This window comes from Homo sapiens, chromosome 13, assembly GCF_000001405.40.
Source record: "Homo sapiens chromosome 13, GRCh38.p14 Primary Assembly".
Lineage (NCBI taxonomy): Eukaryota > Metazoa > Chordata > Mammalia > Primates > Hominidae > Homo > Homo sapiens.
In genome coordinates, this window is record NC_000013.11 from 113811736 (window position 1) to 113827511 (window position 15776).

The 15776-nt window shown below is 61.4% G+C and overlaps 2 protein-coding genes, 1 long non-coding RNA gene and 1 other non-coding gene across 5 annotated transcripts in view, besides 5 other annotated features; 3 read left to right on the plus strand and 1 right to left on the minus strand.

The window, feature by feature from the left end:
• TMEM255B (transmembrane protein 255B) overlaps nucleotides 1–5260 on the plus strand; it is a 57770-nt gene extending 52510 nt beyond the window's left edge. For both annotated transcript variants that reach the window (NM_182614.4, NM_001348663.2), the window contains one exon: nucleotides 1–5260. In NM_182614.4, the coding sequence (NP_872420.1) occupies nucleotides 1–168 (168 nt within the window). In that variant the 3' untranslated portion in view covers nucleotides 169–5260.
• Nucleotides 3759–3828: an enhancer, noted in NCBI's record as "active region_8040". NCBI's record gives its function as "activates an Ori minimal core promoter by ATAC-STARR-seq in GM12878 lymphoblastoid cells {active_cell/tissue: GM12878}" and the evidence as "EXISTENCE:reporter gene assay evidence [ECO:0000049][PMID:35858748]".
• GAS6-AS1 (GAS6 antisense RNA 1) overlaps nucleotides 3875–15776 on the plus strand; it is a 27232-nt gene continuing 15330 nt past the window's right edge. Inside the window, exon 1 of the long non-coding RNA NR_044995.2 lies at nucleotides 3875–3956. This is a non-coding gene — a long non-coding RNA (GAS6 antisense RNA 1). The remainder of the gene's footprint in view (nucleotides 3957–15776) is intronic.
• Nucleotides 3879–4118: an enhancer, noted in NCBI's record as "active region_8041". NCBI's record gives its function as "activates an Ori minimal core promoter by ATAC-STARR-seq in GM12878 lymphoblastoid cells {active_cell/tissue: GM12878}" and the evidence as "EXISTENCE:reporter gene assay evidence [ECO:0000049][PMID:35858748]".
• Nucleotides 4179–4298: an enhancer, noted in NCBI's record as "active region_8042". NCBI's record gives its function as "activates an Ori minimal core promoter by ATAC-STARR-seq in GM12878 lymphoblastoid cells {active_cell/tissue: GM12878}" and the evidence as "EXISTENCE:reporter gene assay evidence [ECO:0000049][PMID:35858748]".
• On the plus strand, nucleotides 6768–8886 carry LOC124903220 (uncharacterized). The gene is made up of 2 exons (XR_007063882.1): nucleotides 6768–7770; nucleotides 7941–8886. It is a non-coding gene; the product is annotated as an uncharacterized LOC124903220 (transcript).
• Nucleotides 8814–15776, minus strand: part of GAS6 (growth arrest specific 6) — a 43528-nt gene continuing 36565 nt past the window's right edge. Inside the window, exons 12-15 of the mRNA NM_000820.4 lie at nucleotides 15261–15429; nucleotides 11640–11815; nucleotides 10223–10451; nucleotides 8814–9283 (exon numbers count right to left, since the gene is read on the minus strand). Coding sequence (NP_000811.1) covers nucleotides 9129–9283; nucleotides 10223–10451; nucleotides 11640–11815; nucleotides 15261–15429 — 729 coding nt within the window. The 3' untranslated portion in view covers nucleotides 8814–9128. The remainder of the gene's footprint in view (nucleotides 9284–10222; nucleotides 10452–11639; nucleotides 11816–15260; nucleotides 15430–15776) is intronic.
• Nucleotides 8858–9407: an enhancer, noted in NCBI's record as "H3K4me1 hESC enhancer chr13:114523566-114524115 (GRCh37/hg19 assembly coordinates)". NCBI's record gives its function as "activates a minimal SCP1, AML or CMV promoter by ChIP-STARR-seq in naive and primed H9 embryonic stem cells {active_cell/tissue: H9 hESC(naive and primed)}" and the evidence as "EXISTENCE:reporter gene assay evidence [ECO:0000049][PMID:30033119]".
• Nucleotides 9957–10505: an enhancer, noted in NCBI's record as "H3K4me1 hESC enhancer chr13:114524665-114525213 (GRCh37/hg19 assembly coordinates)". NCBI's record gives its function as "activates a minimal SCP1, AML or CMV promoter by ChIP-STARR-seq in naive and primed H9 embryonic stem cells {active_cell/tissue: H9 hESC(naive and primed)}" and the evidence as "EXISTENCE:reporter gene assay evidence [ECO:0000049][PMID:30033119]".

The following is a 15776-nucleotide window of genomic DNA, read 5'->3' on the forward strand; positions in this document are numbered from 1 at the left end:
CCCTGCAGCCGCTTCCCAGTTGCGCCCTCCTCTGCCCTGGCTTCGTCTGAGGACCTGCAGCCCCCTTCTCCAAGCAGCTCTGGCTCTGGGCTTCCCGGCCAGGCTCCACCGTGCTACGCACCCACCTACTTTCCCCCGGGGGAGAAGCCACCCCCCTACGCACCCTGATAGAGGCGTGGAGTAAAAGATAACTTGTTTGTTTTTTTTTTTAAAAAAAAGGCAGCCTCTAGAAATCCCGCTTCTGTGGCCAACCTCCTAGAGAACCCGGGAGAATGTTCCAGAAGTCTGTCCCCTCCTTTCCTCCCTGGGCACACTGGTGAGGGAGGCTGGAACCAGGCAGGGAGTGGGGCCCTCCAGACCCAGGCTGGTGACACCTTGGCTTGGGCTCTGCTCACATCAAATGGCGCTGAAAGTTCCCACCCGGCCTCCTCCTCTGAGAGCAATTGTTCTGGTGTTTTCACATCCCTTAATTAATTAGCTATTATTATGATTTTGCAAAGACAGTGCAGCCCCGGCCTCCCTGCCTGTGTGTTCTTGTTTGTGGACATGTGTTGTGCGTTACACGTTCGTGTGTGCATCTGTGTCCTGGAGAAGCGCAGGGCAGAAGCCACCCGCCCCTCGTGCTGTGCTCCTGACGTATGCCAGGAAGGGAAGGACGCTTCGGCTCCAACGCCCAGCGCTGTGTCTAACCGCCTGTGAGTTGTTAGAATCCAGGGGCCCGGTTGTCTTTCCCAGCCCCGGATGCAAATCTGCCTGGGCCACTGGCACGAGGGTCTTCCCCTGAGCTGTCTCCCAGCTACGGCGCCTGGGCTTCCGCTGTCCTTCCGCGGCTTCTCCCTCACCGCACCTTGTCTCAGGACCCCTGGCCGCTGGGATGGTGGGGGACGGTGTTTCGGGGTCCTTTGGCTCAGGGTCTGGGGCCGCAGCACTCCCTGTGGAAACCAGCTTAGCTCCCCGCGGGCCCAGCATGCACCTGCCGGGCACACCTGGGGAGACGGGTGAGCACGCCTGGGAAGCAGCAGGTCCCGGGTGGGTCACAGGCCCCGGGTGGGTCACAGGACAGGTCTCAGGTGGGTCACAGGTCCTGAGTGGGTCACAGGTCCCGGGTGGGTCACAGGCATCCCGGGTGGGTCACAGGTCCCGAGTGGGTCACAGGCCCCGGGTGAGTCACAGGCCCCGGGTGAGTCACGGGTCCCGGGTGGGTCACGGGTCCCGGGTGGGTCACGGGCCCCGGGTGGGTCACGGGTCCCGGGTGGGTCACGGGTCCCGAGTGGGTCACGGGTCCCGGGTGGGTCACAGGCGCCCCAGTGACAGGAGTTCAGGATGCGCCACCCCAAAGTAGCCGAAGTCTCTTGAAAAGTGTTGGATGTGGGGAGAGGCTTTCTCTGAACTCCTGAAGTCAGATCCTCAGGGAACCAGGGACTCCCAGGGCGGGAGGGCGGGCGAGAGGTGATCCCATTGCTCCCCAGACGTGCCACAAGACACCAAGTCGCCGTCTCTGCTCTGTGGGCCGCTCACGGTTCCCCAGTCACTCCCTCTCCCCTCGGAAGCTGGCGCCTCCAGGCCTCACCGCTCTCAGGGCCTCACGTCCCTCCCTGCAAAGCCCCCCGTGCCTACGATAAACAAGTACCGCTCTTCTCCCGTGTGGGTCTGAGGTCTCCAGCTTACTTCACGGAACAGTGCCCACCTGGGAGGTGGAGCGGGGACTTTCTCCCCTGCCCAGTCCTGGATCTGGGAGAAAAAAGATAAGGTGGAGGGGAGCCACACTCGTGCAGACACAGCCTCCTGCCCCCTCTGCTGCCCGGGAGCCTCCCTCTGTCCGATGGAGGGTCTCACACAGCCTCTGCCCCCTCCGCTGCCCGGGAGCCTCCCTCTGCCCGACGGAGGGTCTCATCCTGTGTCCAGCGCTCCTGGGCAGAAGGCCCACAGCGCACATCCACACATGAACGGTGGCTGGCTGGGCCCAGGGGCCCTAACGGGCCTCTGAAAGGCCTGCAGCCAGCTCTGGTCTGTGAACCCGCCACTGCTTGTCATTTTTATCTTATAAAATCCAGCCTCACAAGCTTGCTGTCCAGGAGAATGTGGTCTTGGCCTCTCAGGGCTGACTGGCCTTGAACCAGTCCGGGAGGTCGGGCACGAGCCGGAGGTGCGGCGTCCTGTCTGGAAATCACCGCCCAGTTCCTCCAGGGCTGTGGGTGCCTGGCTCCGAGTAAGAAGCTGAACAAGCAGCAGAGACCAAGAGGTTTCTGGAGCGCCGGGAGATGCACTCACGAGCGCCTGTGGGGGAAGAAAAGTGTGCCACGGATTTCCCGAGTCCCCAGGGCTCTCACTTTACCTCAGGGAAGGCTCTATGGGCGCCGATGGTGCCGTGGTCTTGTGTGGGCGGTTCCTGGGCACCCTGGAGCTCGGGCTGTGCCCCCGAAGCTGCCTGGTGCAGGCACCAGCACCTCTTGGTGTCCTAGGGGTGCGAACAGCAGAGAAGCTGAACTGCAGGTCTGGGCAGGGAGTCTATGCCCCCTGGAGCTCTGGCCAGCAAAGTCACAGGAATAACCCTCCTTCCCCTCATGTCAGCCCTCGGTCGCAGGGTGCGGTGTGGGGGCATCAGAGTGCTTCCCCGAGGCTGCACTCACCAGCTTCCCCCAAACACAACATCGATCTTTCCCGACTTTTAATCTTGTCTAGAGTCAAAAGCTGTTCAAAAATATTCAACTCCAAGGTCAACAGTTTTGTTCTTGCCACAAAAATGTCCTTATCCTTTATCCCAGCCACAAAGAATGTGAACAATTTGACTCAAGGTTCGTGGTGGCTGGAGGGTCCCCCAGGTCCCAGGGCAGCTCCCACCTGGCGCAGGGCTCCGGCCAATGCCTGGCCTGCAGTGTGGGCGGCGGCTGCTCTCGAGGTGCACCTGTCTCATGTGGACGGATCCTGTCTGGGGCCACCAAGCTCTGCCAGCCTGAGTCACGGTCTGATGAACCCCCTCTCTGGGCTCCGCTGGGGCCTTCTGATCCCAGCCTCCTCTGCAGGGATGGGCTCCCAATCCCGCCCTCACTTGGTTCCCATGCACAGCCGAGGTCAGTGAGACCCTGGAGGCCGCGGGAGATGGGGTGGAGGGGATGGTGGGGCAGGGGGTGCTGGGGGGTTTGGGGGTGCTGTGGCCCCGGGGCAGGGGGTGCTGGGGGGTTTGGGGTGCTGTGGCCCCACCTGCACTCCCTGCCTCACTGGGACAGCACAGGAGACAGGCTTCTCCTGCAGCTCAGAGGTGGGGGCCTAGTGTAGCTGCAGGTTGTGACTGAGGAGGGCAGGGTCAGAGCATTGCCCTGGGCAGGGGTCCGTTGAGACTGGCCCCACCTTATTAGCTTGGGACCTTGGGTTACAGGGAGTCTCCTCCTGCCTCAGTTTCTACATTTCACACAGCAGCACTGCTCACAAGAGCTCCCAAGCAGAGGCAACTACTGAGTGGGGGAGGGACACAGTCCGTCCACATGGGGCCAACGGCCACAAAGAGAGGAAGGGACATGGGTGACGGTCCGTCCACGTGGGGTCACCGGCCACGGAGAGAGGAAGGGACATGGGTGACGGTCCGTCCACGTGGGGTCACCGGCCACGGAGAGAGGAAGGGACATGGGTGACGGTCCGTCCACATGGGGTCACCGGCCACGGAGAGAGGAAGGGACATGGGTGATATGGTTTTGCTGTGTCCCCACCCAAATCTCAACTTGAATTGTATTTCCCAGAATTCCTGCGCGTTGTGGGAGGGACCCAGCGGGAGGTAATTGAATCATGGTGGCTGGTCTTTCCCGTGCTATTCTCGTGATAGTGAGTAAGTCTCACGAGATCTGACTGGTTGATCAGGATTTCCGCTTTTGCTTCTTCCTCATTTTCTCTTGCTCCTGCCGTGTAAGAAGTGCCTTTTGCCTCCCACCGTGATTCTGAGGCCTCCCCAACCATGTGCAATTGTAAGTCCCGTTAAACCTCTTTTTTTCCCAGTCTCGGGTATGTCCTTATTAGCAGTGTGAAAACAGAATACTACAGTGGTCCATCCACACGCGGGTCTCACCCAGCCACAGAGAGGGAGAGGACGTGGCCCATCCACACGCGGGTCACCCGGCCACGGAGAGGAAGGAAGCTCTAACGGGTGCTGAGGCTGTAACACACAGTGCTCAGGGAAGGACACCAGACATGAAGACTGTGTTCTGTTTATATGCAGTGTCCAGAGAAGGCGTGTCCACAGACAGAAGCCGACTGGGAAAGGAGGTGCAGTCACTGCTCAGGGACACGGGTTCTTTTCGGGGAGGCAAGCGTGTTCGCAGCGTGTTCTGTATGGGGAGAGATGCAGTCACTGCTCAGGGACACGGGTTCTTTTCGGGGAGGCAAGCGTGTTTGCAGCGTGTTCTGGATGGGGAGAGGTGCAGTTACTGGTCAGGGACACGAGTTCTTTTCGGGGAGGCAAGCGTGTTTGCAGCGTGTTCTGGATGGGGAGAGGTGCAGTCACTGGTCAGGGATACGAGTTCTTTTCGGGGAGGCAAGTGTGTTCTAAGCGTGTTCTGGATGGGGAGAGGTGCAGTCACTGGTCAGGGACACGAGTTCTTGTGGGAAGAGGAGTGTCCGGGAGCCAGATGGCAGTGATGGGTGGACGGCCCCGTGGATGGACTGACCACCGACCCATGCTCTGCACTCATGAGGCGTGGCTATTGCTGTGTGAATCACATCTCCATGGAAACGGGAGTGGGAGAAACGGGCCCCAAGGATGTTGTGAAGATGGCCTTATGGGGCTGCACTGGTGACTTGGACAGTGCTGGCCACCGGCCCTGCTCAGTGAACAAGAGCCATGGTCATCACCCTCGCCACACAGAGCAGCTCCTCCTGCAGACTTGGGGACCCCGTGGCCACCAGACCCCGCGGTGGGAGCAGAGATGCCTCCGAAACTCTGGAGACCCACAGAGGCAGAAGAGGATTCCACGAGGCCGGGGCCCGTCAGCAGATCCTCAGACGGCGACACGCGCCACTTCCTTTTCTGTTTCCTAGACCTTTTAACTGATGGAATTCAGTAAGCAGAAAACGTGCTTGAAACAAGGGCACCATGGAGCGGACCCTCCCCCTCTCCCCTCGTGGAGTCCTTGACCCTGGGGCAGGTGACCCTTCTTGCTTTGCAGGCAGGGGCTGTGGCTGGAGCTTCTCCTACAAATGGGCTGTGCTGGGATTAGCCCGGCTGTACATTTGCTTTATGCTTCCGTTGGCATTTAAAAATCTGATGTTCATATTTGCCGTATTACGTGAAGTAGGACGAAACGTTCCTTCTTGCTTAGAGCAGTGTTTCCCCAGAGGTGCCCGGGCCCAGGGGACAGTGGCCAACCTCTGGAGACATTTCGTGTTGTCATGAGGCTGGGTGTCCAGGAGGGGGCGATGCTGCATCTGCTGTGCACAGGACGCGGCCACATCAAAGGACCCCACCTGCAAAACACATGCCCAACCTCCTTCCTCCTCTCCAGCCCAGAGTCAGGGCTGTCCCCCCTCCCTCCAGGGGACACATCCCCCCTCCCTCCACGGGATACATCCCCCCTCCCTCCACGGGACACATCCCTCCTCCCCCCACGGGACACATCCCCCCTCCCCCCACGGGACACATCCCCCCTCCCTCCAGGGGACACATCCCCCCTCCCTCCACGGGACACATCCCCCCTCCCTCCACGGGACACATCCCCCCTCCCTCCAGGGAACACATCCCCCCTCCCTCCAGGGGGCACATCCCCCCTCCCTCCACGGGGCACATCACCCCTCCCTCCAGGGGGCACATCCCTCCTCCCTCCAGGGCGCACATCCCTCCTCCCTCTAAGGGGCACATCCCTCCTGCCTCCCCAGGGCACCAGCACTTGCACCACGTGCTCTGTCTTCCCATCCTCTTGCACACCCCAGACATGCCTGGTTGTGGAGGGTGCCAGGTCGCCAACGTGACAGGCCTGGCTGGGCCTCTGTGTTGCAATTCCTAGCACCATTGGTTTTGCTTGTTTGGGACAGTGGTTATTATAACTTCTGGCACCCCCGGAACTCTAAGAAAACAATACTAGGAAACAGAAGTTCCTGATTCGTCTGGAGGCAGAGCAGAAACCCAGGCGGAGGGTTGTGTCCTGAGGACACTGGTGACTGTAGCCTGTGTCTGTGGGGGCCTCCCCACGTCTCTGTCCCTGAGACTGGCCGTTGCCTGTTTTTGCTCCTGGCCGTCTTGACTTGGGGAGGATGGAGGTTGGGCAGGAGCAGGCTCCCAGCCGGCTGGGGAACATTATGGGAGAGCACTGGGGGGCACCCACCAATGTGATCTGACGGACGCCGCAGTGCCGGGCTGGAGGCCGGGATCTGAGGGACGCCGCGGTGCCGGGCTGGAGGCCGGGATCTGAGGGACGCTGCGGTGCCGGGCTGGGATCTGACGGACACCGCGGTGCCGGGCTGGAGGCCGGGATCTGAGGGACGCCGCGGTGCCGGGCTGGAGCCTGGGATCCCAGCGTGCGGCTGTGGCCCCTGTGGCCGTGTGAGGCCGTGCAGTGGGCAGTGCAGGGCTCTCCTGGGGCCCAGGGGGCTGTGTTCCACGGGCTTCTTGGAGCTCTGCTCAGCTGGCTCTGGCATCGTCGGGGTCAGACGAGTTGGCCTGCTTAGCGAGCCGTCAGCATCCACGCCTGGGCCTCCCAGAACTGGGCTTCTGTGCTGATGGCCAGATCCGAGCCCTGGGCCCGACCATCCTCAGCCCAACCAGCACCTGGACATCCCGGAGCCAGCGTGGAGGCCTGGGCTGCGGGTCCCCGACCGTGTGAGCAGCCGGTGGCCATCTGTCCCGGCCCGAGTGGAGAAAGCGCATCTGCCTGCGGAAGGTCCACGTGCTGCTGGGCGAGGCTGGCGAGAGCCGTCACACACACGCGGGGCCGCTGGCGGCAGATGGACGTTTCCGAAGGGAGCCGGCAGGAGCCTGACGTCTGCCCTCTGAGGCCAGGGCCTCCCCCGTCACTATTTTCTCACGGTACCGAAGCGAAAGTTGCCTGCAATACCTCTTAGACTAGGTTGAAGTCCTGAATTCAGGCTGCAGCCCTCAATCAACAGAACTTCTGCCCAGGTGCTGCCAAGATTTTGGGGAGAACAAGAGGCCCTTGCCCGGCGTGTCCAGAGCAAGTGGCATCATGCCCACGATGGCGCAGGGTCATGGGATGTGGCCCGAGGAGCCCATAACTGGCACCGGTCAACAAGAGCCCCAGAGACACAGGGTGGGCCTGCCAGGGACCCTCAGGGACCACCAGGGCCTGGAGGCTCCAGCGTAGACGAGCTGGGCGGCTCTGGACGGCAGGGGATGGGGCCCCCTGTGCATGGCCCCTGGCAAGGTGCCTGGCTGGCCGTCCATCCGTGGGGTGAGCTCGGCCCAGGCGGGCAGGGTCCCTCCAGGTGGGCATGAGTGTTGCTGGCTCCCGAGCCTTGGAGAAGCTCTGCCCATTCCACAGCCGTCAGGCCGGGGGCCAGAGGGAAGCCGCTCCTTCCCGGCCCGAGGCTGCCCCTCAGGAGCCCACTCGGCCGATGCCACCTTGTCAGTCCAGCCAGCGGGGCCTCCCCTGTGGCCTTCAAAGCCACAGGCCTCTTTCTAGAAACCTCTTTGCAGTTCATTTGTGGCGATTTATCCCTGGATGGGTTCTCATGGATTCTATCCTTCTTCTCCACCCGACTTTTCTCTAGGTCAAGTGCTGACCCCAGCCAGGCAGAGGCAAAGATGCCCCGACGCACAGCCTGTCCTGCCCGGTGGGCGCAGCTCTGGGACTGACTGGTGGGAGGTGGGGCTGCTCCGAGCTGCCCCGTCTCACTCCTGCCCAGGGAGCTCCGAGCACGGGTGGGGGTTTGGTCTTAAAGTGGAATCCTGGTTTGGGCCTCAGAGCTGAAACCCTCCCTGATCCCCCGTGTGGCCCCTGCAGTGACCGCATCCACCCTGGGGACCCATGTTTGGCCCAGAGGCTCGAGCACAGGTGGCCGCGTCCCACGGGAGCGTCAAGCCATGAGTCTTGGTCGTCCCCTTGGGACCAAGGAGAAGCAGTGACTCCGTGGCCCCCACCAGCTGCGGCTCCGACATCCTTCCAGGAGGCAGGCAGGGTCCCGACTGCATTTCAGGCACCTGCCTGGCCGCGTTCCGGCTGCCCTGACCTTCCCTGCAGACTTGTGGCCTGCTGGGGTCAGAGAGCACCAGTGACCGCTCCACCCCTTGCAGACAAGGAAGCTGAGGCTGAGGGACATGGGGACCCTGCCAGTGGGGACGCGGGAAGCAGGGCTGGCTTTGCTCCTGGCAAGCTCTACCCCAGACCGACACAGAGAAAGCAGTTTCCCTTTCTCAACAGAACACACTTGAGGCCCGGAAGCAAGTGGATCTGTGCAGGAGGGTGGGGACGGGAATGGCACAGGGGTGCAGGCGCTGCCTCGGTGTCTTCCGGCCCTCGGTCCCAGCTCGGGGTCCCTCCCAGGTTGGCTCAGAGGCCGCTGCCCCAGCAGCCTGCATTTGTGTGCCAAGCCCTCCTCACTCAGCAATGACTGGCTGCCTGTGGTGGGGGCCGAGCAGGGCGTTCTCCGCATTTACAGAACAAGTAAACTGAGGCTCCAGCCCCTGCCGCCACTACCAGAGGAGTCAGAGGCTCCTGGGGAGCAGACCGTGGCTGCCCAACCAGGCTGGGAGCAGAAAAGAGGGAGGGATCTTTGGAGCGGCTGAGGGTGCGGCCTGGAGCCCTGGCAGCCCCGCTCATCCCAAACGCTGCTACGTGTGCAGAACCCCGCGGGGAGCAGATGACGGCCACGCGGTGTTACAAAGCTTTCTGTAAATATTTTATTTTCCATATTTTAGAGTCAGAAAGAAGCGCTTGGTAATAAAAATAATAGAGAATTATTTTCTTCGAGCCCGCTCTGCGCTGCGCCGGCCTCCCCGCGCCCGGGCCCACGGCTGAGTGCGCGGCGTCAGAGGCCCCAAGTCCATCTCACTATTTACAGATATGTTACAGGCCGGGATGGTCACAGAGGAAAGCCCAGCTCTCAGCATGGCCCCACGTGGTGAGGAGCCCCCAGGCTCCTCCCGGCTGTCTCGGACAGAGACTGAGAAGCCTGCCGCGTCCCGTGGGGGCCTAGGCTGCGGCGGGCTCCACGGGGGGGCAGGAGTGGGCCGTGATGTCGCTGTGCTTGTACGCCGCCTCGTCCAGGTCCAGCAGCCTCCGGTTGACCTCCAGTGTCATGCAGCCGCGGTAGAACGCGGTGACTGGCGCTGAAGTCACCGGCACATCTGGGCCGCAGGGAGAGAACAACATATCTTAGCTCACCACGTGGCCGGCCCCGCCTGGCCCCCCCACCCCCGGCAGCGCTTGTGGCCAGCCCCGGGTTCCCTCCGAAAGGGCAGGGTTTCCCTTTCTTCTCTAACTTCTCGGTCCCCGTTCGTTTGGCCGCAGACCCGGCAGACAAGCAGGAGGCATCTGCCAGCCTGGGCTCTGCAGACGCCAGCCCTCCCTTCCCCGCTGGGAGCACAGACAGTCCCATCGGTTAAACGTGATCTTCTTCTGTGCCCAGTGAGTCATTCAGGCTGCAGGCCTCCTGGCTCGCTCTCATCCTCTTCAAAGCTCTGTTTATTAAAACTAAGTGGAGTCTGTGTCTGGCAGCCAAGAGAGAAATCCTGCCGTTTGCCGCAAGTGAAAACCTGCGGGCAGCCGAGGACTTGCCGGCTCCCACGTGCCTTTCCGCTGACCCTCCCAGCTCATGGCAAGGACATCCCCGGTCCCAGCCTCTGTGCTGTGTAGCCCATGGGACACGGCAGGACGCCCTGCTGGACATGGGAGGGGCTGGCGGTCACTCTGTTCGCTGCTAACAGCTGCGGTGACAGCCGCGGGTCCCAACTGCAGCCTGGCCCGAGGTCTGCCCAGCCCTCTCCCCCGGGGCTGGTCTGATGGGTGTGGACGAATGCTCCCTGAAGATGCAGGTTCGTGGGGCCTGACTCAGGCCAATGCCGGCCCCCGTACGTGTTTCTCAGTCTCAGCCAATGACCTGACCAGCACCGAGACACCATAATAGCCACTAACGACCCACCTGGACTTCTCCTTCCTCTTAAAACACAAGTCCTCTTCCGCATTCACTACCAGAAACCCCAGCCTGTCCAGGTTAGATCTGGGGTGACCAAGCTGGGCCTCCCTGGAGCTCTTCACCCGGGTTGAGCGGAGCAGGGAGCACCTACCTGGCAGGCCGCCAGCAAAGGTGAGCACGGGGCTCCGCAGGTGCCTCTCGAGCACGGCCAGCCTCTCCTGCAGCTGCGCGGCGCTCACCTCGCTCTGGCCCCTGGTGCCGTCCACCTCCAGGGTGGCCTCACCGTCCCTCAGCGAGACGGTGACCACGTGCTCTTGGCCGTCGCAGACCTTGATCTCCATTAGGGCCAAGGCCGTATGCTCCACGGCCAGGACCACCAGCTGCAGGAGACCGAGGTGTGGTCAGGGCCTGCCGGCCACCCCTACGTGAGCTGTTAGGTCCAAGCTGGTCCTCACAGCTGCTGGCCACCCCTACGCCGCACGCCTGTCTCCGTCCAGGGTTCCCTGCAGCCCTGGGTCTGGATGCTCGCTGACTGTGGATGACACCCCCACCCCACCTGGGGCTCAGCTTCTCTGCACGTAAAGCCAGGGGCCAGCCTGGGAGGCTGTGGGGGAACAAGTGTGGCCCCCAGGTTGGGTGTGAGAGGGTCAACCCCAGCCCCAGGCACCAGGCACACACAAGACCGAGGCTGCACTTGACCAGGAACTGGGGTGGCCCTGATGGGGACCCAGGACCCAGCCCTGCGGTGGCGGCCTCCCAGCCCGGTGGGCACTCACGCTGGCACCACAGCCCAGCAGCCCAGGGGTCGGCTGTTGCTACATAACAGCAGCTGTTTATTCCAGATGCTGAGATTGGGTCTGGCCCTGGTAACGAGCATTTGCATGAACCAAGCCTGTCTGTCGTATCCCAGCAAGCGGGAGGGCTCTGTGGCCCCGGGGTGGGCAGACTTGGAGAACGTGAGCCTCTCTGGTTTGACCCATGTCTCCCTCCTTAGCACACGAGCGAGAGAATAAAAGCTGTTTCTGTCACCTCTTGATTGTTCTGTGGGGAAAACAGCATGAGTCCCCCAGCCCAGGACAGCTGACTTATTGTGAGGACCGGGGGTGGGGGGACCTTGTCCAAGGGGCAGCTGCACTCAGCTCCACCCGGTGTCCCCCACGGAAAGACGCTGTTGGGGGACCGGCCAAGGTCACAGATCCGACTTTTCCAGGGAAATTGGAAAACTGAGTTTGTTGCTGAAATCATCTGACTTAAACACCAGAGACTAATTCAGATTGCTGTGAGCCACCATCTGCCCAACCGAACAGGGGAAAAGCTCCCACACTGTGAGCCGAGTGTGGCTCGCAGGCGCCGGCCCCCTCAGCTGTGTGGCGGTGACCTGGTGTCCAAACAACCCCCGCAGCCCGAAGCGTGGCCCACGCCGGGCTTGGCTCATCAGACCTCTGGTCAGAGGCTTTGGGGGTCCCTGGGGATCCCACCGCGGGCCCCCTTCGTCCCCTGCCAGGGAGTGCAGCCCACGTACCCGTGGGTCGAGCCGGTCAGGACGCCCTGGGTGGCGGAGGCCCTACCTGCTTCTTGAGTTTCTTCGTGGAGTGATAGTCTACCAGTGCCACAGAGAGAGGCACGGCACGGAGGTCGGGGGCCCAGAGCGCAAACAGCACGCCTGTGTCTGCGGCTGGGCGGATGTGAGCCACGACTTCTACTTCCCAGGTTGATTCAGTCCCGACGTCCAGAGGGGTCCGCACTGCAATGAAAGCGGTGCATTATAGGGTGGTATGCACGGTGGAGAGGCCACAGTGAGGTCGGAGCAGGGCCTCGAGAGATGCAGTCCCAGCCGGGGTGGGAAGCTGTGCAGACAGCCCCGGATCTGGGACGTGATGGAAAACTCAACAGACTGGTTCAGATCTTGGCCCGGAGCCCAGAGGCACCGGGGACCCCCAGGCTGTTTCTCCCTGGCCACACCAGTACCCCACTTCCAAATGCCCTGTAGGTGACCACCAGGCCACACAGGCCCGTCTGAGGGGCCACAGGCTGTGCACCATGGGACGCAGGCCTGTCCCTGCCTCCCTCCGATGTCCTCTTGTTTCAGGAGCGCCTGACAGCTCCTTCCTCAGAGCGTGCGTGGCCTCGTGCCTCGCATCTCACCTGCAGCTTTCAGGTAGCAGCACAGGGCCCAGTGGGGGCTGAGAGTTTAAGATAGCATGCGGACAGGAGCTGTCATGAGCACGGTGGTCTGGGGTCTGAGCTGTCAGGAGCACGCGCGGTCTGGGGTCTGAGCTGTCAGGAGCACCCGCGGTCTGAGTTCTGAGCTGTCAGGAGCACCGTGGTCTGGGGTCTGAGCTGTCGGGAGCACGCGTGGTCTGGGGTCTGAGCTGTCAGGAGCACCCGCGGTCTGGGGTCTGAGCTGTCGGGAGCACGCGCGGTCTGGGGTCTGAGCTGTCAGGAGCACCCGCGGTCTGGGGTCTGAGCTGTCGGGAGCACGCGCGGTCTGGGGTCTGAGCTGTCAGGAGCACCCGCGGTCTGGGGTCTGAGCTGTCGGGAGCACCTGCGGTCTGGGGTCTGAGCTGTCAGGAGCACGCGCGGTCTGGGGTCTGAGCTGTCAGGAGCACATGCGGTCTGGGGTCTGAGCTGTCGGGAACATGTGTGGTCTCCCAGGGAGAATGCCACGGCATATCCTCTCCACGCTGAGCCCTCCGTGGACTAAGAAGCCAGAAGAAAAAACTTCCGCCCTGTTTTCAGTGTTTCTATCTCACCCAGAATTCCAAAGTCCTGATAAAGAAGCTGTTTTAGGAAAAAGGACCCCAAATCACTGTGTGTACACATTTGTGACTGGGCGCCTCGCACTGCAGGCCAAGGTTGGGGTCAGAGTGAATTGTGCTGGTTTCCCTGTCTCTTTCCCACGGGGCTGTGTACGCCTGAAACCCACATCGCCTGTCCTGCCTGTCCCTAGCTGGTACCCGCCACATCAGTTCTCAACAACCATTTATGGCACCGAAACACACAAAATCAGAAAAAGTAACAAAAATATTGCAACAGAATCAAAAAGTAACAACAAAAAGTCTCCTGTTTGCCGGTCTTCCCATAACCTGTGAAGGGAGAGATGATGGTGTTCTTTAAAATGGAAGCTCCCAGTCGGGCGTGGTGGCTCACGCCTGTAATCCTAGCAATTTGGGAGGCTGAGGTGGGTGGATCACCTAAGGTCGGGAGTTCGAGACCAACCTGACCAACATGGAGAAACCCCATCTCTACTAAAAATGCAAAATTAGCTGGGTGTGGTGGTGCATGCCTGTAATCCCATCTACTCGGGAGGCTGAGGCAGGAGAATCGCTTGAACCTGGGAGGCGGAGGTTGTGGTATGAACCTGGGAGGTGGAGCCAAGATCGTGCCATTGTACTCCAGTGTGGGCAACAAAGGCGAAACTCCGTCTCAAAAAAAAAAAAAAAAAAAAAAAAGGAAGCTCCTGACAGGAGGCTAGGCACATGTTGGCCATCGGGGCTTCACAAGGGCACCGGCCTCTGCTCTCCCCGGGAAGGTTTCCCGGCTCCACGTGGCCCCTTGCATGGAGGCTGCACAGACCCGGAGATCTGCAAGCCTGAGCCCAGCAGAGTCGCTGCAGAGTGAGCCAGGCCAGTACTACCATTCCCAGCAAGTCTCCTCTGTCTTGTAAGAGACGTTACTGGTATAGTTTGAGATTCACTGGAAATGCATGGAGCTGTAACTGCTTCTGTCCGGATAGACCAAAAAGGGCCGGCAGACGCGGCCGGCAGTCACTGGAAATGGCCCCTGTGATGCCTGCATAAGGTTACCCCTGAGAAATGTGTATGATATTAAGTGGAAAAAGGATTTAAGCATTTCATATGACATGATTTCGTGTCAAACATTATGATGCTCTAGATTTGGAAGTCCAAAAATCAAGACTGAGGGAGAACGCGTGTGCACAGTCAGTCCAGCCAGTGGCAGATGGCGCTTTTCTCAGATGCCTTTCCTGACACGGTCACGCTTTTGACACCCGGGGGGAGACGGTGACACTGGATCTGGCTCAGGACGGGGCAGGACCCTCCCCTTTGCTCCGCGTGGATCCCCTTGAACCTGGGGTTCCTGCTGGGTGCTTGAGGGCCGGCAGCCCTGAGATCTGACGGAGGGGGCGCTGCCTGCCCTCTGTGCGTGTGGGGGCTTCACCATAAACGGCTCGGTGTCCAGGAATAGGGCAGGGCTGTGGTGCCCCAGTGGGGCCCACGTGGGGTGGGAATGTGAGGCAGGGTGGGGCCGAGCAGTAACACTATCCTCACAGCAGCACCCCCGGAGCCTGCACTGGGGAGGGCGGCAGCGTGGCGTCACAGGACTGGGCCAGCAGCTCACATCCACCCTGTCCTCCCTTTTTCAGGCCTAGGTTCACTGTCCCCCAGGCAGCTTCACGGCTGTTTTTACACACCTCCCATTGTAGCTGTCTCACCGGGTCATCGGTGACCACGGTGTCCACCATGTTACCGAGAGCTTCTCTGTGCCCCTGGACGAGTCCTAAGGCTGTGCTGTCTCCGGACTTTCTGCAAAGGACCCTGTAAGGCTCCCAGCCTCCCCGGCCTCGCAGGCACCTTCTCTCCCCGGCCTCCCGGCGCTGGCCTCGCAGGCACCTTCTCTCCCCAGCCTCCCGGCGCCGGCCTCGCAGGCACCTTCTCTCCCCGGCCTCCCGGCGCCGGCCTCGCAGGCACCTTCTCTCCCCGGCCTCCCGGCGCCGGCCTCGCAGGCACCTTCTCTCCCCGGCCTCCCGGCGCTGGCCTCGCAGGCACCTTCTCTCCCCGGCCTCCCGGCGCCGGCCTCGCAGGCACCTTCTCTCCCCGGCCTCCTGGCGCCGGCCTCGCAGGCACCTTCTCTCCCCCGCCTCCTGGCGCCGGCCTCGCAGGCACCTTCTCTCCCCGGCCTCCTGGCACTGGCTTCGCAGGCACCTTCTCGGCACATCTCTCTCATTTCTTCTTCACTGGCTGACTCTGAACTGAGTGACCTGCATGGCCATCCTGAGAGGTGGGCCTCTGCCCGCACCTCCGCCCACCCCGCCCACCCATCCCTGCCCCGGAACCGGAGGAGCCTCAGCTTGTCCTGACGCTGCCATCTGAGGCCGTCTGCTTGCTTTCAGCGTATGCCTGTCTGAAGGTGCAGCCACAGCCACCCCAACGGTAAGAGCCAAGACTTACTGTAGTCCAGGCTGTAGAAGGCGAAGCCGCTCCCGGGGTAGAAAGAGCCTCTCTCCGTCACCGAGAAGCACTGCATCCTCGTGTTCACTTTCACCGTTTCCTGGATGGTGGTGTCTTCTCCGTTCAGCCAGTTCCAGCTCCTCATGCAGCCATCCAGACGAGGGTTTATCTGGAAAGGCAGAGAAATCTCCGTGGCTTCCTGGGAGCGAGAAGCCCCATGCCGGATGCCCCAGTCGGTGGGTGGCGCCTTCGCGGCCCTGGTATGTGCAGCTCTACGGCAGAAACGGGCCAGTCCCATCGGTGGTGGCCATTTCACAGAAGGTTTCTTCACTTTACACAACGCCTCACTGCAGAATACCTATTTCCACTGGTGTATGCTCAAGAACTAAAGGTTCATTTTAAAGCTAGGAAAGGACTGAAAAGGCCATGTGGGTCTAAGGTCAAAGAGTATGGATTGTTCAACCATCCAACACTCATGTGAATTATTCAATATTCAATATGGCTGTGGGCAAATCA